Genomic DNA, 24,248 nt, shown 5'->3' on the forward strand with positions numbered 1-24,248 from the left:
CAAAACACAAAAGTGACAACAGTGAACCACATTAAAACAGCAGCAGCAGCAATAGCATTATGAAAACAGAAAAGGGAAAAAAGACTCCTGCAAAATGGCCATTTCTTTGGACACATTTGGGCAAGGATAACACATGGCAGTTCTGAAGGGGCCAGGGTCAGCCCTCACTCCACAGGCACCTCCTCTCAGACAGTTCTGAGGTGGTTTCCACAACACTCATAGGAAAGACGCCACTCCCCCAGCCTACGCTGACTGCAGTGTTCCTAAGATGTCCTTTATTTACCGTAAGATATCCAACACTAGTGCATGAAAATCTAGCAGAGTATCACTTACTATTTCACAGAGCACTTTCAGAGCTGTGGTTTCCATCTGCCACTCAGGAGGTGGGGCAAGAAGAATGGGCTAACTATAGCCAAACTGTGGACTTGGAGATGGGCTAAGAGGGAGAAGTGGTCTCTTTTATGTAGAGGTGAACTGCAGCCAAACCTACGGGTTGGCAGGAAATTAAAGCTGCCCTAAAATGCTTTCATCTTCAATAAACCAAAGGGAAATGCGGTTCATGCCCCTAGTGATCAATCCACCTGAGAAAATTCACAATCAGGCAGATGAAGAAGGAAGTTGAGCACTGACCTCTACCTTCACCCGCCTCACAGGGTAGGAGACTGAGGACATGGGCTGGGTAGGAATGAGGCTTGTCACAGGTAGTAGGCATGATCAGCTTTTAAACTTGCCCATGGAAACATTTCTAAAACTGACCCCCTTAAGCAAAATACAATGAATATAATTTGACCCTTTTTTAAGACCTTTCGGCCACCACTACAAATATCACTTCATTGCTTCCTCTACCAAAGGGGCCCCACAGCTGTGCTCTGTGGTCCTGGGGTGTATGTTTCTAAGCCTTTCTTGCTGCAGCCAAACGGTCAACCGTGCCCTCCCAGTGTTCCCATGTTTTATTACACCTTTACCTCCTGAGCTCTCCAATTCAGAGCTCCTGATCTCCAGTGTGTGGGCTGGGAACTCAGAGACAATGCTCCTTAGTATTGTGAATGAGTCCTGAGAACTTTCCCAAGGAGCAAGGCTAATCACAGGCAGTGTGCAGCCTGCCACTGTTTCATGCTGGCAAACATTTCAAGAAAATGACATTCTGGGTCCAAAATACCTGGATTCTCTGCCTAGTTTTGCCACTTGATGTACAATTTTGAGCGAAGTGCTCAAAGGCTCCTGTCTTCAGTTTCCTCAATTATAAACATGGATGCATGCTGACTTCCCAAAATTCTGTTGTGATCACCAAAATGAAATGTTTATGAAAGAACCTATCCCATAGTTTAATCAGCCAACCCAGCCCCAGCTTCCCCTGGATTCATGTGATATTCTAGATGACTAAATTGTAAGTCAGTCTAGACGTTGGCAACGTCCTTTGCAATGAATGGATAAAATGCGATGGGTTGATGGGTGGATAGAGGAACAGATGGACAGATCTATGAGAAAACAAGTAAGATGTTAATGTTAACTGTATAATCTAGGTGGTGGGAATATGGGTGTCTACTTTAAATTCCTTCAACTTTTCAGAATAGTTGAAAACTGTCACTAAAAGAATGTTGGGAAAAAAAATCATGCTATAAGCACATAGGGAGCATCTGTGTGTCTTCTGTGTCTGGAGCAAATGAACAACGCACAGAGGTGACTGTCCTTGCCACGCCGGGACTCTCAGAGTGGTGGTGGACCTGAGAGGGATACTGGTCCCCCGCCTTGCAAAGCTGGCTTCAGGAGGCGTTCTGCCAGCAACTGCGCCCTGTGGCCTCAGGAGCAACCCTGCCTCTGTCTTGCCATCCTTGTGCCTGCGGTGCTGCCTGTCTCTTCAGTGGCCTGACCAGTTTTCCCCCAAGTCCCTGCTCTCAGAGGTCCTCCTGCATCCTTACTGCCACCAGAGTCACCTGAGCCACTGCTTCAGGTCAGGCAGCTACCTGTGAGGGAGAGCTGGCCTCCTGGGGAAGCAAGGGCCACAGCCTGGGCTGGCCTCTTTCTCTGCAGCCCCCCTCTTGCCCAGCTGTCTGGCATGCCCGCCTTCCAGGGTCCACACAGCTGTGCCCCTCCCCAACCAGCAAAGAACCCAACTGTCAGGTTTCAGCTGCAGCACAACTGCCGCGAGTCGGCCACACTCTGTGAGGCTTTAATGTCTGCCTTACTCTCTGGGACCCACCATGCCTGTGTCCATCTCTGGGACTCTGTATACTCCTTGTTGTTTACATTTCCTGCTATGAGGCTGCTGGAAAGCAAAACCTGGGTTTTATTCATCTTTGTTCCTTTCCTAACTGGCGAAAGGAAGTGCTCAATGCTGATTAAATGATGAAAAACAAATTATCACGTCAACCCCAGAAGCTCTTTTATACTAAAAATGTGCACAGTTGTGTGTGTGTGTGTCTTTCTCCCCTACTACATGGGCCCCTCTGAGGCTGTGTTTAGGTCCTGCTTGCCGCGTTTGCTGTTAGTGTCTAATGCAGACTAAGCAGGCAGCACTGCCGCCTGACCTGAAGCGACAGAGATGAGATGCTCACAAGCCACCACCTGGCTGAGGGAAAATGACTGTGAAAGGAACTGTGAAGGAAGAAAAGCAACAGAAGTTGCTCAGCTCAATATTCTAGGTTCTGTAAACGGCAAGAGAGTGCTCTTCACAGAAGGGCAGGCCTCACAGGCCATCCAGGTCTGTTATGACTACCCCACGCCGCTGCTGTAGAGGAAAGGCAGCGGGCTGACCAAGGTCTAGTTAACCTGACCTTGTACAGACACTGGGAGTGTGTCCTGGAGCCTCACGGAGGGAGAGGGACGGACTCTTGAGAAACAGAGACAATTGCTCCACTGTGAGCACCTCACAGAGGAGCCAGGAAGGAAGTTCTGTGGGGACTGCAGGTGTGAAAATGGTTGGATCCTGGGGCCCAGCTTTCTGTCAGTGAGTGATTGTGCAAATCACTGTGGCTAACACCTCCTCCACTAGAGAGCCACATGTGTATGGGGCAACAGAAGACATGAACCAGCTCAGCCCCTGCTGATAACAGGCTTCTTTCTCAGTCACTCCGCAAGGCTTATGGCTAGCAGTCCACTGCACGTCCTGTTCGCGTGACTCCACAACACTTCCCTTGGGTTTGAGAGATCGTCTTTTGGGGTGCGTCTGGTGTTAACAGCAGGCTAAGTGAGGGCTTAACAGTGCCAGCAGCCCTGCCTCCCCCAAGTTGGTAGGTTTAGAAAACTTGGAGTCTTTAAGACTTTGCCTTTCCTCCTCCTCTTGAATTTGCCGCTTCTCACCACTTCATTTCTAGTCCAAGGCTACGGCCCCTTTGGTATGGAAGACCAGGCATTTGTTCTTAGCTGATCTCCTACCCAGTATTCCCTCATTTCAACCCCTCCTGCTTTGATGTCAGACTTTTGAAAACACCATTTTCCGGCCCCCAAACTACTAGTGTCTATTCCCTACCAATTCCTCGTTCTGTTGCCCTGCCTGGCTTTCAGGGCTATCTGCTTGGAGGCTGAGTTGGTCATGTCAGTCCTCAGCTCATGTCTACTTGGTTCTTTGTTCTTACTGACGGGGAATGGACGCCTCTAACTGCAACACGGTTCTGTCCAAAGCATCTCCCCAGCAACTGCTTCTACCTTGGCTCACAATTCTTTTTTTTTTTTTTTTTTTTTGAGACGGAGTCTTGCTCTGTCGCCCAGGCTGGAGTGCAGTGGCGCAATCTCGGCTTGCTGCAAGCTCCGCCTCCCGGGTTCACGCCATTCTCCTGCCTCAGCCTCCCGAGTAGCTGGGACTACAGGCGCCTGCCACTGTGCCCAGCTAATTTTTTGTATTTTTAGTAGAGACGGGGTTTCACCGTGGTCTCGATCTCCTGACCTCGTGATCCACCTGCCTCGGCCTCCCAAAGTGCTGGGATTACAGGTGTGAGCCACCGCACCTGGCCCACAATTCTTTATTCACTGCTTCTTTCTATAGAGTTCTAAACACAAGTCCAGTTCTCTCTCCTCTTGTCACATACTCTCTAAAATCAAGATTTGCATTCTTTTCCTGTATACTTTTCTTTTCTGACACAGGGTTCACCCAGGATGGAGTGCAGTGATACAATCATAGCTCATTGCAGCCTTGGACTCTGAGATTCAAGCGATCCTCTCCCCTCAGCCTCTCAAAGTGCTGGGATTATAGGCATGAGCCATTGTGTTGGGCCTGCTCAATTTTTAAAATCTACCAATATTGTCACATTGTTCACCTTCCCTTATGATCTAAGCACATGTAGCTTCTGTGCAGGCCCATGTAAATCCCCCTGACTGGCCAGCCCAGCCTCCATCTCCTGGATGAAGTTTCTCCAGCTCTCCAGCCTACACTGCTAGTCTGAACTGGTAACAGGGTCTGGGCCCCTTGCATGTGACATCAACTGTAGAACCAGGTCCCAGCTAGGAGTTTCTGAAGGGGCAGGCACAGAGGACTCTAATACTAAATTTATTTAACTGGTGGCTCTGCTTTCCATGGGAGGGAGTCCTGAGGCGAACCCTTTCCAGAGAGATGCTCATGTAACTGTGAAACTGCTCTGGACAGGCAGCAAGGAAAGGATGAGAACCCAAAGATGAACAATCTGGAATATGAAAAAGTTGTTTCCAAATAATCACATTCACTACCCTTGAGAGTAAAGGAGGTACTTGGAGTTTCTAATAAACGAGAGAGAGATTCCTAGGAGAATATATGTAACTTTCTAAATAATTTTTAATTCTAAATTTAAAAAAATACCTTCCAATAAGGAGCTTGGAAAAGAATACAAAATAATGGACCTTGAGGAACATAATATTCTAGAAACAAAAGGCAGCGCCTCCCTTGCTAGAGCTCACTGTATTAAACTCCAGGTACCTGACAAATTTAAGATCTGTATCCTGGCTGGAATCTAGCAGTCTCTTCAAAAATTAGTTCTTTGAGCTTTTCCTTAGGCAAGTCATCCAATTCCATGTCGAACTTGAATGGTGCTTCGGCGATGGGCTTTAAAAGAAAACAAAACATTTAACAGTCAAAGTTGTTATGGGTAAGGCAGTAATTTACTGATTCATAAAATGACCACTGCTCAGATTCTGAATTTACAACAGGACTGATGTCTCATAAAAACTTAAGAGTTGATGGCCGGGCGCGGTGGCTCACACCTGTAATCCCAGCATTTTGGGAGGCTGAGGCAGGCGGATCACTTGAGGTCAGGAGTTCGAGACCAGCCTGGCCCAACATGGTGAAACCCCATCTCTACCAAAAATACAAAAAATTAGCCGAGTGTGGTGGTGCACGCCTATAATCTCAGCTACTCAGGAGGCTGAGGCAGGAGAATCGCTTGAACCCAGGAGGCAGAGGTTGCAGTGAGCTGAGATCGTGCCACTGCACTCCAGTCTGGGTGACAGAGAGAGACTGAGAGTTGTGCCCACACTCCTCAAGTTCTCATAAACACTTAGCCTGGGAGCAACTGAATCTGTTTCAAGTGTTTTTCTGAACTTACCACAAATCCCAGAATAATTTTTAAATGTTTTAAGGCAGTGAATGTCGAAATAAGAGAAATGTGCTGCTGTTGGGGTGGTGGTACGTTTATCCAATCAACACCCATAATACTAAAATACATGCATTTCATTAAATAAATCATGGTATCTTTGTATGAAAAAACATCTTAGAGCTGTTAAAAATTAAGCTGCAAGGCCAGGCGCAGTGGCTCACATCTGTAATCCCAGCACGTTGGGAGGCCAAGGTGGGAGGATCATGAGACCAGCCTGACCAACATAGTGAAACTCCATCTCTACTAAAAATACACAAAAATTAGCTAGGCATGGTGGCAGGCCCCCGTCGTCCCAGCTACTCGGGAGGCTGAGGAAGGAGAATTGCTTGAATCCAGGAGGCGGAGGTTGCAGTGAGCCGAGATTGCGCCACGGCACTCTGGCCGAGGCAACAGAGCAAGATTCCATCTCAAAGAAAAATAAAAAAAACTGGCCAGGCACGGTGGCTCACACCTGTAATCCCAGCACTTTGGGAGACCGAGGCAGGTGGATCATGAGGTCAAGATATTGAGACCATCCTGGCCAACACAGTGAAACTCCGTCTCTACTAAAAATACAAAAATTAGCTGGGTGTGGTGGTGCGTGCCTGTAGTCCCAGCTACTCGGGAGGCTGAGGCAGGAGAATTGCTTGAACCTGGGAGGTGGAGGTTGAAGTGAGCCGAGATCACACCACGGTACTCCAGCCTGGCCTGGTGACAGAGCAAGACTCCATCTCAAAAAAGAAAACAAAATTAAGCTGCAAGGAAGATTAATAGGAAAATGCCTATGTTGTGTCAAGAGAATGAAAACTATTTTATTTTTAAAATTTAGATACAGAAATACAAGACTGAGAAGGAAATACTCCAAAATGTTAGTAACTGTAACAAGATTATAAAGCTACATATTTGTAGTATGAAAAAAATCTCTCCTGTATTTTCTTACAAGTTTGCTTTTCTCTTTTTTTTTCTATACAAAACCTCGCTTTGTTGCCCAGGCTGGAGTGCAGTGGTACGATCCCGGCTTACTGCAACCTCTGCCTCCTGGGTTCAAGCGATTCTCCTGCCTCAGCCTCCGGAGTACCTGGGATTATAGGCGCCTGGCACCACACTTGGCTAATTTTTGTATTTTTAGTAGAGACAGGGTTTCACTATGTTGGCCAGGCTGGTCTCGAACTCCTAACCTCAGGTGATCCACCAACCTTGGCCTCCCAAAGTGCTGTGATTACAAGTGTGAGCCACCATACCTGGCCCCATTTTTTTTTTTGAGACTGAGTCTCATTCTATTGCCTAGGCTGGTGTGTACTGGCATGATCTTGGCTCGCTGCAACCTCTGCTTCCCGGGGTCAAGCAATTCTTATGCCTCAGCCTCCAGAGTAGCTGGGATTACAAACATGTACTACCACGCCCAGCTATTTTTGTATTTTTAGTAGAGACGGGGTTTCCCCATGTTGGCCAGGCTGGGCTTGAACTCCTGACCTCAAGTGATCCTCCTGCCTCGGCCTCCCAAAGTGCTGGGATTACAGGCGTGAGCCACTGCGCCCAGCCCCCATTTTAATTTTTAACCATACTCCAGAAAGCTATTTAAGTAAAATATAAACTGTCTATTTAGATCAAAGAACCCCATACACACTCAGTGACAAACTGATTATTATTTTTTAGAGAAAGAGTTTTGCTCTGTCACCGAAGCTGGAGTGCAGTGGTGTGATCACAGCTCACTGAAACCTCGATCTCCTGGGCTCAAGAGATCTTTCCACCTCAGCCTTCTGAATAGCTGGGACTACAGGTGTGAGCCACCATGCCTGGCCACATTTTGATTTTTAAATGCCCGTGAACTAATGCAATGTTACAGAACTAAGCTGATGATAATACCAGCTGTCAATCAGTGAATGCCTAGAATCTCACCTCTCACCCATGTAATCCTCACATGGGGCCTTTAGGGGGAGGAAGCACAGACCCCAAACTCTGCACTAAGCTTTGGCCATCTGAAAGGGGAGAAGGACTCATGTCCAGAAGAATAAATAGCTCAGCCCGAAGGAGGGCTATGCATCTGGGATCACAGGAGGTGTCCTACACGCATCACCCACCACCCCAGCCAGCTGATTTGGACTCGGAAGCTTGGGAAATCTCCAGCCCACTAAGCTTGTAAGAGCCCCAAACCTGTATTCTCTCCTATTCTGTGTTACTGGCTATGTTGTAGGTATTTCACAAGCTGCCTAACTTGTTGCTGGAGGCAGAGAGATGGATGTGGAAGGGAAAGCTGATTCTTTCAAAAATAGGAGGGTAAAGACTATTCTCTGTGCATATGAGCCTCAACTACAACAATCCAAACTTTTGGTTCATATTGCATTTTTCTTTGTTATCCTCCAGAGAATAAAGTTAAAATTGAACCCCAGAGACACCAGAGAGCCAAGGCACTAGGACTGTCTTGGGGAGAACATGACATGCAGCATCTTCTACCTGAATGCCCTGCCTGCTCTGAAGAGCTGCCATATCCACTCTGGCCTCATCACTTCTTACAACAGGCTCTCGTGTCCTTGTCTCTAGGGAATAGCACACCCGACATGGAGTCGCCAAGCCACAGTGGAAACTGTCCAAGTTGACTTCCCTCCCCACTCTGTGTGCTGTCCCTGTCAGCAGGCTGCCCACCTCCTCTCCACCCCGGCCATCCTCAGGGCCAGCACTTCACTTCAGGTGTCTCTTCCTGTCACACCATGACAATGGCCTCCAGTCTCAGACCCATGCCCTCTGTGCTCCATACTGGTGCAGCTGTCCCCTTTATACATGCGTTTACCCCGCCCCTACCTGTTGCAGGTGGCCTGGAGGAAGTCTTCTGAGATAGACAGAGTTACGGGGGGAGGGATTTCAAGCTGTGCCCCACAGCACTCGTCCTCAAGGCAAAGGTGGGCTTGTTGGAAGAACCGGGTATGGCAGCAGGTATATCTCAGGAAAATCTAAGCAAGATATGGTTGGTCCACTGCTGGCTGATCTATGTCCCTGAAGCAGCAGCCAGGAACATGAGCTCTTACCTCGTCACTCGGGTCGTAATACTGCTCCAGATATGGGTGGGCCAGAGCCTGTTCTACTTCAATCCTCTTGTGTGGGTTGAATGTCAACATTTTGTCCAATAAGTCCAGAGCTATAAAGAGAAAGGTTTTGCAGTAGTGAGAGCAGAAGTAGTCACAGAAATACTTCAATTTCCTGTTTAAGTAACTTACCCACAAAACAACTGAGCTAAGCATGACTACAGAGAGAGCAGCCAGCACAAAGGGTGCTGACTATATCTCCAAGCCTCCCGAGACTGTGAACATAGGGACCGACCATCTGACAATTGCAGACCGCAAACAAAAACACTGGCACTACTTAATGAAGCGTCTTTTCTGACAATGATCATTTCTTTTTTTTTTTTTTTTTTTTTTTTTTGAGACGGAGTCTCGCTCTGTCGCCCAGGCTGGAGTGCAGTGGTGCAATCTCGGCTCACTGCAAGCTCCGCCTCCCGGGTTCATGCCATTCTCCTGCCTCAGCCTCCTGAGTAGCTGGGACTACAGGCGCCCGCCACCACACCCGGCTAATTTTTTGTATTTTTAGTAGAGATGGGGTTTCACCGTGTTAGCCAGGATGGTCTCGATTTCCTGACCTCGTGATCCGCCTGCCTCAGCCTCCCAAAGTGCTGGGATTACAGGCGTGAGCCATCGCGCCCGGCCAGCAATGATCATTTCTTATTAGGTTATTTGTAGGTAAAGGTCAACTTCATCCATCTGCAAATTAGCACATACTATTAAGCCCTCAAAGTAGAATGATAAAATATCATTATTTCTTCTTAAAACATTTTAAAATTTAATTGTATGTCCCTTCTCACCATTCCTAAAATGATAAACAATCACGTAAAATTTGGTACAATTTAATACTCATGATCAGTTTAAGGAATCACTTCTAGCCACTACTTTCAAAAAGTAAGTTTTCACTATTTACTAAGAAAATGTTTCCTAACCCTTAAGAACAATCAGTAGACCTTCCGAAGGGATTGCTTGGGTGCTGGGGGGAGGTGGGAGGCATCTTGCTGCCTGAGGTCACTGAAGGGCTGTGGGTGTGTATTTGTGCTCAGCCCCGGCCAATTTTGACCTCCCTTGTTGCAACCCCTGACCTTAAGACAACAGGAGATGATAAACATGGTAAACCACATGCTGGACATAATGAGAAATTCCGCATAGAAAACATTTAAAAGTTATGTATGTTTCTATCTATAATCTTTTCAATACATACAAGTGCACTTTAGGAAATTACGGAATAATGATATTTTGTTTTATAGCCTAGATAACTTTTCAGAGTAGAGAATCCAGACAGGTTTTGCTGTGACTGAAGGAGTGTCTGCGCAGTAGAAGAGGTGGTCATGCCTGCAGCTGTGACCCTGGGTCTGTGGGCACACAAACTGGCTAGGTTTAGGAAGTGGCCCTCTCAAGGGTCAGGACAAAGACGCATGATGGTCAAGAACCCAGGAATCTCTGGTTCAAATCCTACTTCCAAGGAACACTTGTAGATATGTGTGCAAGACACACAACCCTTGCCGAATCTTAAGATTCCTGTGGTTGGCTGGGCACGGGGGCTCACGCCTGTAATCCCAGCACTTTGGGAGGCCAAGGCGGGCGGATCACAAGGTCAGGAGATCGAGACCATCCTGGCTAAAACGGTGAAACCCCGTCTCTACTAAAAATGCAAAAAAAATTAGCCGGGCATGGTGGTGGGCGCCTGTAGTCCCAGCTACTTCGGAGGCTGAGGCAGGAGAATGGCGTGAACCCGAGAGGCGGAGCTTGCAGTGAGCCGAGATTGCGCCACTGCACTCCAGCCTGGGCGACAGAGCGAGACTCCGTCTCAAAAAAAAAAAAAAAAAAAAAAAAAGATTCCTGTGGTCTATAATATAGGTAATAAATCCCACTTTGCTTCCTGCTCCCAACCAGCCCTCCCCACATAGAACTCACAGACATTTTCTCAAGGACTTTCTTGAAACTAGATTAAGTCATTTGGCTTTTCACCCAATTAGATACTGTCTGTGCTAAGAAAAGTCCAGAAGGCCTGGACCACAATAAGATTCTAACAGTATTACTTCTAAACCACTGGGGGCAGAAGGGTCCTACTCAAACTTGTTCGTATTAAGTAGACAGGCACTCCAAGCCAACTGGATGTTTTGCAGCTTAAGCATTTCTAAAACAGATCCATTAGTTCCTTAAAGTTAAATAAATTCTAGGCCCTTAAACCTCCAGGCATAAATTTCAAAGAAGACAGCTTTTTAAAAAAAGATTTGCTACTTGAAAAGTAGCTAGATCTCCAGCCTTCTGTTACTGCAAGTGCTATTTCTACATTATTCATAGCTACAGAAGGAGAAAAGGAGAGAACCGGGAAGCAGCTGGCAGGTGCGGATCCCACAGTCAAGAATGTCCGGACTCCCTCCTCCCACGCCACATGGGCATTCATTGGTAACACTCAGATGGTGTGAATCATGGCTGCCTGTGTGGATGCTTACTTGGATACAGGTTTTATTTCCCCTAAAAGACTGGAAGTCCCTTTGAGGCTAGTATTACTCCTGACCACAAATCCTGACTTTCCCTAGTGCCTTCCAGAATACTACATTTTCTCTTTCTGTGTTTTTTAAAACAGAGTTTGGATTTTGTTCTATGGCCCAGGCTGGAGTGCAGTGGCATGATCATAGCTTACTGCAGCCTTGAACTCCTGGGCTCAAGCAATCCTCCTGCCTCAGCCTCTCGAGTAGCTGGTACTACAGGCACATGTTACCACACCCAGCTAATTTTTTTAAATTAATTTTTCTGTAGAGATGGGGAGTCACTATGTTGCCCAGGCTGGTCTTGAACTCCTGGGCTCAAGTGATCCTCCTGCCTAAGCCTCCCAAAGTGCTGAGATTACAGGTGTGAGCCACTGTGCCTGGCCCTTGTCTTTTTTTTTTTGAAACGGGAGTCTCACTCTGTTGCCCAGGCTGGAGTGCAGTGGCGCTGTCTCGGCTCACTGCAACCTCCACCTCCTGGGTTCAAGCGATTCTCCTGCCTCAGCCTCCCGAGTAGCTGGGATTACAGGTGCCTGCCACCACGCCAGGCTAATTTTTTGTATTTTTAGTAGAGACGGGGGTTTCACCATGTTGGCCAGCGTGTTCTCAAACTCCTGGCCTCGTGATCCACCCGCCTTGGCCTCCCAAAGTGCTGGGATTACAGGTGTGACCCACCGCGCCTGGCCAGCCTGGCCCTTCTCTTTAACTTCAAATAGTATGTAACAACCTGATTCCAACCCTTTCTTCTAATCCATCATCCTTTTTTCCTTCTTGCCCTGTCCTGGACCTGGGGAAAGCCATTGACTGGCTCTCCACAGTGCCTCTTCATGTCTATCTTGCCTGCCTCGTGAAACTCTGACCCTGAATCAATGCTGCAACCTGTCACTTCCATCCTCAACTCATGTTTCTGTGCGGGGCCAGAGAAAAGACTGAACTGTGCAAAGTGTGCCAGTGCGACAGTGCTTCTCAAACTTTCTGATCTCAGAACTCTTTATACTCATCAAAACTGAGGGACGATTTAAAAACCAGTTAATTCTGCTCATAGCTCAAATAGTTACATAAGTGCTTTTCCCTGAGAAAACCACTGCATTCAGTATGCAGCAGAAATGCTATACGTGTTTGTCACACAGACATCGTGAAGACATGTATTAAGGATGGATTTAATATGGTGAGTACTTTTTACTGGCACTGGTTTTGAGCAGTGGGGGTGTGGCAGTGCAGAGCTCAGTAACCTCTCTAGTTCCACTGCCTTGACCTGCCTGTGGTGCTGGGGACTCTGCTCATCATTGCTCCTGTGCCACAAGTGCTGATGGCAACATAGAGAGCAGTGTGAGTAACTCTTTAAGAAGATTATTAAAACAGCTTTAACCTTGTGGACACCCTGAAAGGATCCTGGGGATCTCAGGTGTTTAAGGAGCACACTATCAGTAACTACCGTTCTACAAAAACTCAAGATTTTCAGCCTCATCAAGGCCCTCAACAGCTTCTGGAAAGCTTTGGTCAGTCCCCTCCTCTACTCTCAGATTTCACCCAACTTGCACGGCTTGAATCATGACCTTCTTGCTAACTGACCCTCATTACTCTCAGCATATCTTCTTGAGGGTGCTACAGAGAAAACTGAGGCACCCAAGAGTGATCTTCGCGGAATTCCCTCCTAGCCAGATTCACACACACCCTTACTGACACTGCCAAGAAAGATATCCTCTCTCTACTCAAAGTCAATTCTCCCCAACTTGTGGCCTGGTCCACAACCCCTTCCCCTCATGTGGACCAGTCGTTTCTGTCTCCACTTTCCATTTCAAATTTCTCACTTCCATTCACTGTTTCAACTCCTCTTGCATGGTCACCAACAAGCCCCTCATTGGAAAATCAACCCACATTTTCCAATCTATATCTTGCTAGACCTCTCTGCTGCATGGACACTGTTGTGCATGCCTACTTTCTCAAAATGCCATCTTCTGCTTCTGTGATATCACATGGCACTAGTTTCTTTTCTTTGTCCCTATTCCATCACTGGCTGAAGGTTTGTGTTCTCCAACTTCTCACAATCTCACTCTTCTTCTTCTTCTTCTTCTTTTTTTTTTTTTTGAGACAGGGTCTCACTTTGTTGCCCAGGATGGAATCCAGTGGCCTGATCTCAGATCACTGCAATCTCTACCTCCTGGGTTCAAGCGATCCTCCTACTTCAGCCTCCCGAGTAGCTGGGATTACAGGTGTGTGTCACCACATCAGGCTTATTTTTGTATTTTTGGCAGAGACGGGGTTTTGCCATGATGCTCAGGCTGGTGTCGAACTCCTGGGCTCAAGTGATCCACCTGCCTCGGCCTCCCAAAGTGCTGGGATTACAGGCATGAGTGACCGCACCCGGCCACAATCTCATTCTTCTATCTTTTCAATCTCTTGCAAGATTTAAAAGACCACAGGTTAAATACCTCCCAAAGCTATATTGAGCTGAGGGTGACCAAGCTGTAGATCAATAAATCCAAGTTTGTGTAGGTAATAAAATATATAGCCTATGATTCCATTTACAATCAATGTATGTATCTATATGTGTAATAAAGTCTGCAAGGTTTTCAAACATTAGGTTATCTGAGAAATGGAGACAGACTTCTTATAGAAATTGCGTTTTTTAATTTAAAAAAAAAAAGTGGGGGCCAGGAGTGGTGGCTCACGCCTGTAATCCCAGCACTTTGGGAGGCTGAGGCAGGCAGATCACGAGGTCAGGAGATCAAGACCATCCTGGCTAACACGGTGAAACCCCGTCTCTACTAAAAAATACAAAAAATTAGCTGGGCATAGCGGTGGGTGCCTGTAGTCCCAGCTACTCCAGAAGCTGAGGCAGGAGAATGGCGTGAACCTGGGAGGTAGAGCTTGCAGTGAGCCGAGATCTCGCCACTGCACTCCAGCCTGGGCGACAGAGTGAGATTCCATCTCAAAAAAAAAAACAAAAAACAAAAAAAAAAAAAACGGGGGGCGGGGGGGGTCCGGGTGTGGTAGTGGCAGGAGGATCCCTTGAGTCCAGGAGTTCAAGACAGGACTGGGAAACATAGCGAGACCCCATCTCTACAAAATTTATTTAAATTAGCCAGGCACGGTGCTTGCCCGAGCCCAGGAGTTCGAGGCTGCAGTGAGCTGTGATTGTGCCACTGCACTCCAGCCTTCCAGCCTGGGCAACAGAGGGAGAACCCTGTCTCTTCAGGAAAAAAAAAAGGGGGGGGGTGGGGGGGAGAAAATAGAATTCCTTATCTTCCCTCACTCTCGGGATCACCTGCTGGTTGTGCCCACCAGCATCCACTGCCCCTCTAATCCATCCAACAGTGTTTGCTATAGGGGAGCGCTCAGGCTTGCCCACGCTCCTGGGCTGTGCTGTGGGAATGGTGACACTCACTGGGCCATATTCACCTGAGTCCCCTTGGCCACAGTGACTGCTCAGGGATAGGCATGGCATCCAAGCTGAGCACAAAGAGGTGATGAGAGTCAGCCTAAGTCCTGGCTGCAGTGATCAGGTCAAGTGTCTTACTCTCATCATGAAAAGAGAGGCTGACTGACAGACAGCCCAGAGCAAGGCAAAACTGGATGATAAAGAAGTCCAGATTCTAGACACAGTGTCTGTGCCCATCAATCCACATGTGACTGAACTTTTCAGTTATCAGAGCCAATAAAGCTCTTTCTTGGGCCAGTAAGTTCTTGTTATGTGGAACTGTGGAACTGAAAAGACCTCAGACGGTTGACCCACCAAACCCGGCCTTCTGGTCTGTGTGAATGACTCACCCACATTCCCTTGCTCCCCAAGCACCATCATTCAATGGTAACCACTGCTTATCTTTTCACATATGTTGTTGAATTCTTTTCTATGCATTTTCTTGTAGAAGGCTGAAATCATATTATGTATGACAAATGCTGTTTTATTTTCCCTTAGTAAATACTGTTCATTAGCATTTTCCCCCACTATCAAAACTTTGTAAAAAAAATCACTTTTAGCGGCCTTAAAATATTCCTTTAAGTAGATGTCTCATAATTTACTCAGCCATTTGATTAACATTTGGCACTTAGGTTGTTTCTAATGCCTAACAGGTGCCTTAAATTAAACACAGACTAAACCAAATTCTCAACTGCTGTCACCCAAACTGCTCCTCCTATAGTTTTCCTCATCTCAGTATTTCCTGTAGACTGTGTGTTCTTGTCCTTTGCTCATTTATTTATACACTGTGGTCTTAGATTTGTCTCTGCTCTTTAGATACTAATAATATTAATAATGAATCTAAAGTTAACAATAATTCCTTAACTCTTTTAATTATCCTATGAGGTGGGAACTACAATTGTCTCAATTTAGGGTTGAGGAAATCATGAAACAGCTTAAATAACTTGTCCAAAGTCAAAAATCCAAGTAGCAGAACCCTAGTTTGAACTCAGGAGGCGGACTCCAGAGCACCGGGTATAACCACTGTACTTTGCTGCCTTCTACAGAACAGTTAGGAGAAGGTCCAGTGTTACTCAATTTAGAACATTTTAGACCTATTGTCCACACCTAATCTAATTTTATTTAGCTTTTAAACTTTTATATGTCTCTCTTTCCTTGATGTTTGTTTTAAAACATAGGAAGTCTTTCTCCATGCAGAGATCAGAAAAATACTGAATACTCTATTGTTAGTTTCTCATGATATAAATTTTAAATAAGTATCAATTCTTTTAGAATTCATTTTGATGTGTAATGATTTAAATTGATTTTCCTCCAAATAGCTATTCAACTAGCCCAGTACCATCTGCTGAATAATAATTTCTTCTCCCTCACTGAAGTCATTTGAGAGAATCGTAAGCTAAGACTCCTTTAAAGAAAAATCTACAATAGTGTCGGTTTAAGGGATACAGCAATCAAAAATTTCCAACAAACATGAAAAAATTTCAATCTCACTCTTAATTACAGAAAAACAAATTAAATGCCACTCCCCCATTTGGTTGGCAGACCTAAAAGTTCAATACCCAGAATTGCTGGAACAAAAGACATGTGACAGAATTGCCAGACTGTCCTCTACAGAGACTCAACCAGTTTACACTCCACCAGCTCTCTCCGAAAACACCCTTTTCCCCACAGCCTTGACCACACAGTAGGGTGTCAAACTTTGATGTCTGCTACTCTGTTGAGGAGGGCGTTAAAAAAAAAAAAGAATTACTGACTTTTCAATGTTTGTATCTTGTATAATGAGTAAACATGAGTACCTTTTATATATTTAAGAGCTGTTTCATCTTCCTTTTCTGTGAACTCTCATTAAAAATTCTAGCTTGTAAGTTTTTTAATCTCTTGAGTTCCCTGAGGTCTTCCATTCATTTCCTGACAAATCTAGACTATCAGTTCTGTAAGAAAGCTCTCTCTCTCTTTTTTTTTTAATGAGTCCTCAGACTTCCCATCTCCAAACAGGTTCTTAATCCCTCTTATTGCTGGTACTATGTATGTCCAGGGCCTTAGAAGCCTTGATGGCACCAAACAGACACTCAAATCTATCCACTGAATGAATGAATTTATGTATGTTTTCTTAAAAATATAAAAACAACTGGCTAGATGTGGTGGCTCATGCCTGTAATCCCAGCACTTTTGGAGGCCAAGGCGGGTGGATCCCGAGGTCACGGGATCAAGACCATCCTGGCCAACATGGCCAATATCTTGGCTAAAAATACAAAAAATTAGCCAGGTGTGGCGGTGCGCGCCTGTAGCCCCAGCTACTAGGGAGGCTGAGGCAGGAGAATTGCTTGAACCTGGGAGGCAGAGGCTGCAGTGAGCCGAGATTGCACCACTGCATTCCAGCCTGGGTGACAGAGTGAGACTCCCTCTCAAAAAAAAAAAAAGAAAAAAAAGAAAAGAAAAATAACAGTGCTGGGTGCGGTGCTCACGCCTGTAATCCCAGCACCTTGGGAGGCCAAGGTGGGCAGATCACGAGGTCAAGAGTTCGAGACCAGCCTGGCCAACATGGTGAAACCCCGTCTCTATTAAGAATACAAAAATTAGCTGGGCATGGTGACATGTGCCTATAATCCCAGCTACTCGGGAGGCTGAAGCAGGAGAATTGCTTGAACCTGGGAAGCAGAGGTTGCAGTGAGCCGAGATCGCGCCACTGCACTCCAGCCTGTGTGACAGAGTAAGACTCTGTCTCGAAAATAAATAAATAAATAAATACATACATACATAAAAAGCAAAAATTAGCCAGGTGTGGTGGCACGCACCTGTAATCCCAGCTATTCAGGAGGCTGAGGTGGGAGAATCGCTTGAACCTGGGAGGCAGAGGTTGCAGTGAGCCAACATCGTGCCACTGCACTCCAGCCTGGGAGACAGAGCAAGACGCTGTCTCAAAAAAAAAAAAAAAAATTAGCCACGCATGGCGGCACATACTTGTGGTCTCAGCTATTCAAGAGACTGAGGCGGAGGATTGCTTGAGCCCAGGTGGCGGAGGTTGCAGTGAGCCAAGACTGTGCCACCGCACTCCAGCCTGAGTGGCAGAGTAAGACCTTGTCTCAAAACAACAACAAAAAAACATGGTAGAACTGTTGAAGTGATGTTCTGAGATTTGGTTCCAAGAGACCTTGCAGCATAGGCTCTTGCTCTTTTGGAATATTTCTGCCATCATGAGAAGCCACTGAGTCTAGTCTACTTTAGGATAAAGAGGCAACTGTAGGAAGGACCAACTGTTAAGACGTTAAACCACCACAATTGAGGGATGGTGAAGGGAGCCAGCAGATGACTGCAGTGCATGGCTGAACCCAGGTGGGCTCAGCAGAACTACCCAGCTGTGCCAGCCCAATGGACTCATGAACAAATGCATGGCTGTTATTTCAAGCCTGAGTTTTGGAGTGTTTTTTTAATGCAGCAATAGGTAACTGATGTAAACTTTAATGTCCAATGTGAGTCTGGCTGAAGGACACTTATGGGTCACATCCCTACAAGGGAACACCATGTAGTCACTCTTTAACAACTAGAGGCCGGGTGCAGTGGCTCACACCTGTAATCCCAGCACTTTGGGAGGCCAAGGCAGGTGGATCAACTGAGGTCAGGAGTTCGTGACCAGCTTGACCAACATGATGAAACCCCGTCTCTACTAAAAATAAAAAAAAATTAGGCCGGGCTCAGTGGCTTACGCCTGTAATCCTAGCACTTTGGGAGGCCGAGGCGGGCAGATCAGGAGGTCAGGAGATCGAGACCATCCTGGCTAACATGGTGAAACCCCGTCTCTACTTTTAGATTGTGTTTTTGTTTGGTTTTGTTTTGAGATGGAGTCTTGCTCTGTCACCCAGGCTGGAGTGCAGTGGCATGATCATAGCTCACTGCAACCTCAAACTCCCGGGCTCAAGCAGTCCTCCCACTTCAGCCTCCTAAGTAGCTGGGACTATAGGCATGCACCACCACATCTGGCTAATTTTTGTATTTTTTGTAGAGATGGGTTCTCACTATGGTGCCCAGGCTGGTCTTGAACTCCTAGGCTCAAGCAGTCCTCCCGCCTCAGCCTCCCAAAGTGCTCGGATTATAGGCATGCGCCACTGCACCCAGTCAGTTTTCTTTTATAGACGATTGTCGATAGTACCTGCGTCACAGGATTGTGTGAATGTTCATACCACTGGCATTTGTAGGTCTAACATCTTTCCATATCTTGCTCTGTTGCCCAGGCTGGAGTGCAATGGTGCAATCTCGCCTCACGGCAACCTCCACCTCCCGGGTTCAAGCGATTCTCCCACTTCAGCCTCCTGCGTAGCTGGGATTACAGGCACCTGCCACCACACCCAGCTAATTTTTTAAAATTTTTATTTATTTATTTATTTAGAGACGGAGTCTCGCTCTGTCGGCCAGGCTGGAGTGCAGTGACACCATCTCGGCTTACTGCAAGCTCTCCCTCCCGGGTTCATGCCATTCTCCTGCCTCAGCCTCCTGAGTAGCTGGGACTACAGGCTCCCACCACCACGCCCGTCTAATTATTTTGTATTTTTAGTAGAGACGGGGTTTCACCATGGTCTCGATCTCCTGACCTCATGATCTGCCCGCCTCGGCCTCTGAAAGTGCTGGGATTATAGGCGTGAGCCACCATGCCCAGCCTGTAATTCCAACATTTTGGGAGGCCAAGGAGGGTAGATTGCTTGAGCCCAGGAATTCAAGACCAGTCTGGCAATGTGATGCAATACTGTCTCTAAGAAAAATACAAAAAATTAGCTGGGCGTGGTGACATGCGCCTGTGGTCCCAGCTACTCAGGAGGCTGAGGTGGGCAGATCGCTTGAGCCCAGGGAGGTCGAGGCTGAAGTGAGTCGTGATCACGCCATTGTACTCCAGCCTGGGCAACAGAGTAAGACCCCATCTCAAAAGAAACAAAGTAAGGCCAGGTGCGGTGGCTCATGCCTGTTAATCCCAGCACTTTGGGAGGCCGAGGAGGCAGATCACCTGAGGTCAGGAGATTGAGAACGGCCTGGCCACTGTGACGAAACCCCATCCCTACTAAAAATACAAAAAATTAGCCAGGCATGGTGGCATATGCCTATAATCCCAGCTACTTGGGAGGTTGAGGCAGGAGAATCGCTTGAACCTGGGAGGTGGAGGTTGCAGTGAGACAAGATCGCACCACTGCACTCCAGCTTGGGCAACAAGAGTGAAATTCTGTCTCAAAAAAAAGTAAAATAAAAACAAAAAACAAAATGAAGGCCGGGCACTGTGGCTCACGCCTGTAATCCGAGCACTTCGAGAGGCTGAGGCAGGTGCATCACCTGAGATCAGGAGTTTGAGACCAGCCTGACCAACATGGTAAAACCCCATCTCTATTAAAAATACAAAATTAGCTGGGCGTGGTGGCGCATGCCTGTAATCCCAGCTACTTGGGAGGCTGAGGCAGGAGAATCACTTGAACTCGGGAGGCAGAGGTTGCAGTGAGCCCAGATCACGCCATTGCACTCCAGCCTGCTGGGCGATAGAAGTGAAACTTGAAAGAAAGAAAGGAAGAAAGAAAGGAGGAGAAGGGAGGGGAGAAAAAAGAAAATGAAAATAAGCAGCCAGGCACAGTGGCTCAGGCTGAGACGGGTGGATCATGAGGTCAGGAGTTCAAGACCAGCCTGGCCAAGATGGTGAAACCCTGCCTCTACTAAAAATACAAAAATTAGCCAGGCGTGGTGGCGGGCGCCTGTAATCCCAGCTACTCGGGAGGCTGAGGCAGAAAATTGCTTGAACCTGGGAGGCAGAGGTTGCAGTGAGCCAAGTTCACACCACTGCACTCTAGCCTGGGCGCCAGCCAGAGTGAGACGCCGTCTCAGAAAAAAAAGAAAGAAAAAAAAATGAAAATGAAAATAAGCATAAAAAAAGAATCAGAAATAGTTTGATGCAACTCATGATTACAGACAAGAGTAAGGAAACAAACAGGAGAGGAACGTTTGGGAGTAGGCCTATTTATTACAGTTTTGTTGTTTTTTTTTTTTTTTAAGAGATAAGAGTGTCACCGTCAGCGTGGAGTGCAATGATGCAATCACAGCTAACAGCAGCTTTGACCTCCTTGGGCTCATGCAATCCTCCCTCCTCAGTTCCCCAGGTAGTTCAGACTACAGGCAGGTACTACTACACTCGGCTGAATTTTAAGTTTTTAATCTTGTAGAGATGGGGTCTTACTATGTTGTCCAGGCAGGTCTCAAATTCCTGGCCTCAAGCGATCCTCCTGCGTTGACCTCCCAATGGGCTAGGATCACAGGCATGAGCCACATTACCAGGCCTAATGATGCAGCTTTGTTGCTTATGCAGCTCTTTAAAAAAGTGACTCAGGAAATAACATTTAGTAACATTTAGATAACATGCTTAGGTGGTATAATATACAAGCAAATCTAATCAGTAACATGTATTATGCATGTGACATTCTAGCTAAAAATATCCTACCATCAAAATACATTACAGGCCGGGTGTGGTTGCTCACACCTGTAATCCTAACTCTTCAGAAGCCCAGGGTGAGCAGATAGCTTGAGCTCAAGACTTTGGGATCATCCTGGGCAACACGGCGAAACCCTGTCTCTACAAAGAATACAAAAATTAGCTGGGCATGGTGGCACAGGTAGTCCCAGCTACTCAGATGGCTGAGGTGGGACTACCTACCTGTAGTCCCAGCTACTCAGGTGGCTGAGGTGGGAGGATGGCTTGAGCCTGGGAGGTGGAGGCCGCAGTGAGCCCAGATTGTGCCACTGTGCTCCAGCCTGGGTGATAGAGCCAAACCCGTCTCCAAAAAAAAAAAAAAAACCCAACCCCCAAAAACCGGTCAGGCACGGTGGCTCACGCCTGTAATCCCAACACTTTGGGAGGCCAAGGTGGGCAGATCACAAGGTCAGGAGATCGAGACCATCCTGGCTATCATGGTGAAACCCCGTCTCTACTAAAAATACAAAAAATTAGCCAGGGGTGGTGGCGAGCGCCTGTAGTCCCAGCTACTTGGGAGGCTGAGGCAGGAGAACAGTGTGAACCCGGGAGGCGGAGCTTGCAGTGAGCCGAGATCACGCCACTGTACTCCAGCCTGGGCGACAGAGCGAGACTCTGTCTCAAAAAAAAAAACCACAAAAAACAAAAAAAACAAAAAAAAACCACAAAACACCCCAAAACCAAAATACATTATATAATTACAACCACACAGAAGCTTGCACACATTAGTGCAAAAAAAGTGAAAGGTTACTGTGGGATCCTGGTGATCAATATCTTACTCCCTTACCATTCCTCCCATACTTCTTAACTGTCTACAATGATGAAATTCTTCTACCTTTATATGAAAGATTAAAAGAAAATTTCTCCCATTTTCAAAAGAAATTCATTTCTAAACAACCAAGTATTTCTCAACCTTCACTCAGGTCAATACATAAAACCAATTCAACATTTAAGTAGACAGTTGTTAAATATACATATACACATATATTCATATGCATGTATAGATAAACACATACAGATAAAATAGGAAGTTAGAAATAGCTAAATTTCTAACAGAACACTGGATAAAAATGCTATAAAATCATTAACGATAACCTAGATCTATGCACTGATGTGGAAAAGATATTCAAGACACAATTCTATTAACCATGACATTTAGGGAATAATTATAAAAGAATTTTACCTTCTTAAATATTTCTATAATTTCTGAATTTTTAAAAAAGTTAACCTTTATAATAATTATTTTTAAAAAATAAATTATAGAGAAAATATGCACATGTATGTAGATAAAGATATGGAAGGACAAGCACCCTATTCAGATTCCCTCCTCAACTTTTAAGGAACCCTGTTTTTATAAATGGGCCCACCTAGATAATCCACCTACCTAGACAAGACAATCCAGGATAACCTTCCTATCTTTAAAGTCAGCTGATGGGCCTATTCGGGGCATACCACACTGCCCGTGGATTAGCCCTGCTCTGTAAGGAGCAGTTAAAAAAAAAATAAGGTCAGCTGATAAACAATCTTGATTGTATCTGCAACCATAATTCCTGTTTGCCAGGTAACCTAACATAGTTATAGGCTCTAGAAATTAGAATACAGCCATGGGGGTGGGTGGGGGGTCATTAGTCGGCCTATCATGGTTTTATAACAGCATGAAGTTTTAAAAACTAGCTGCCTAATATATTTAACAGGTACACGTTAAATGGGAATAAAGAATAATACAATTATTAAACGAAGCTAACCTAAAAAAAAAAAAGGATAAAAAAATCAAATGTATCACTTTTTTTTTTCATGGGTACTCTAAAAAATCTTTGCTTAACATAAGGTCATGAAGATTCTCTCCTGTTTTCTTCTTGAAGGTTAATAACTTTAGGCCTTATATTTAGGTTTATGCTCCATTTTGAGTTTTGTAAATTTTGCATATGGGTGTCTAATTGTTCCAGCACCATTTGCTGAAGAGACTGACACAAACAATGACATGGATTTTTATAAATCTCAAATGCATTATGCTGAATGGGAGAATCTAGACATAAAAAGGCTACATACTACATGATTCCATTAACATGACATGCCGGAAAAGGCAAAACTATAGGGATATAAATCAGATCAATGATTGCCAGAGCTTGGGGTTGCAGAGGGATGACTGACTACAAACGGCACAAGGCAACTTTTGGGGATGATGGGAATATTCCACATCTCAATTGCGGTGGTTGTTACATGACAGTTTATGTTTGTTAAAACTCAGAGGCCCACACAACTAAAAAGTGTGAATTTTATTCTGTGTAAATTATTCTTCAATAAACCTGATTTTAAAAATTATCAAGTGACAAGATGAAAAGGTGTAATTTGTTTGCAGGGTCCTAGACTTCCTGAGACCTAAAAATGTGACCTTAGGCTGAACGCTGTGGCTCACGCCTGTAATCCCAGTTTTGGGAGGCCAAGGTGGGCAGATCAAAAGGTCAGGAGTTCGAGACCAGCCTGGCCAGCATGGTGAAACCCTGTCTCTACTAAAAATACAAAAATGAGCCAGGCGTGGTGGTACGCGTCTGTAGTCCCAGTTACTTGGGAGGCTGAGGCAGAAGAATCGCTTGAACCCGGGAGGAGGAGGTTGCAGTGAGCCGAGATCGGGCCACTACACTCCAGCCTGGGCGACAGAGTGAGACACTGTCTCAAACAAAAACAAAAAAAAAGTGACCTTAATGCAAATTAAAATTAGCAAAGAAACCAAAAGGTGGAGAACTAGACCGTCATTACCAGGTTCCCTTACTGCACTGCCACTGTTTCCAAAAAAAAAAAGGGGGAAGACAACAATTCAGAGTGAGCACTAAAGAAAGCATTATCCAATAGCCATAGGCTCATTTTTCAGGCTAGTGACCTAACAATTTAACAAATAAACGCGAAGCTAAGCCTAAGAAAAAACTAATCAACGAAATAACATTTACCTTTGGAGTCAGCATTTGGGAACAGCCTGTTCCATGGCACCTTATTTTTGTGTGGAAGAGAAAGCAAATAGTTCCTAGCTTTTAAATTTATTATACAATTCAGGTCTTCTTGTGATGGGGATCCAAGAATACCTATCAGATAAAAAAATTAGCTATTAGTTATCAGGACCAAGGTAAATGACTACACACCATCAACTCTGAGTCGGAATGAACCCTGATAATTGATATGAGCCGTTGCTTATCACCACTCCTGATGTTTACCTTTCTTATGTTTTTACACAAAAGTCCTTAACATTTTAAA

General features: G+C 45.7%; 1 protein-coding gene across 2 annotated transcripts in view, besides 3 other annotated features; it reads right to left on the reverse strand.

Moving 5' to 3' along the window:
* The window catches only part of MAPK1 (mitogen-activated protein kinase 1), a 108,024-nt gene that overhangs the window by 4,653 nt on the left and 79,123 nt on the right, over positions 1–24,248 (reverse strand). The window contains exons 6-8 of one of the 2 annotated variants that reach the window (NM_002745.5): positions 23,948–24,079; positions 8,564–8,673; positions 4,886–5,011 (exon numbers count right to left, since the gene is read on the reverse strand). In NM_002745.5, coding sequence (NP_002736.3) covers positions 4,895–5,011; positions 8,564–8,673; positions 23,948–24,079 — 359 coding nt within the window. In that variant the 3' untranslated portion in view covers positions 4,886–4,894. Of the gene's footprint in view, positions 1–4,720; positions 5,012–8,563; positions 8,674–23,947; positions 24,080–24,248 lie in introns of those variants that run through there. The other variant, NM_138957.3, reaches the window with a different exon arrangement.
* Positions 353–402: an enhancer, noted in NCBI's record as "active region_18708". NCBI's record gives its function as "activates an Ori minimal core promoter by ATAC-STARR-seq in GM12878 lymphoblastoid cells {active_cell/tissue: GM12878}" and the evidence as "EXISTENCE:reporter gene assay evidence [ECO:0000049][PMID:35858748]".
* Positions 413–462: an enhancer, noted in NCBI's record as "active region_18709". NCBI's record gives its function as "activates an Ori minimal core promoter by ATAC-STARR-seq in GM12878 lymphoblastoid cells {active_cell/tissue: GM12878}" and the evidence as "EXISTENCE:reporter gene assay evidence [ECO:0000049][PMID:35858748]".
* Positions 2,773–2,842: an enhancer, noted in NCBI's record as "active region_18710". NCBI's record gives its function as "activates an Ori minimal core promoter by ATAC-STARR-seq in GM12878 lymphoblastoid cells {active_cell/tissue: GM12878}" and the evidence as "EXISTENCE:reporter gene assay evidence [ECO:0000049][PMID:35858748]".

Source organism: Homo sapiens, chromosome 22 (genome assembly GCF_000001405.40).
Source record: "Homo sapiens chromosome 22, GRCh38.p14 Primary Assembly".
Lineage (NCBI taxonomy): Eukaryota > Metazoa > Chordata > Mammalia > Primates > Hominidae > Homo > Homo sapiens.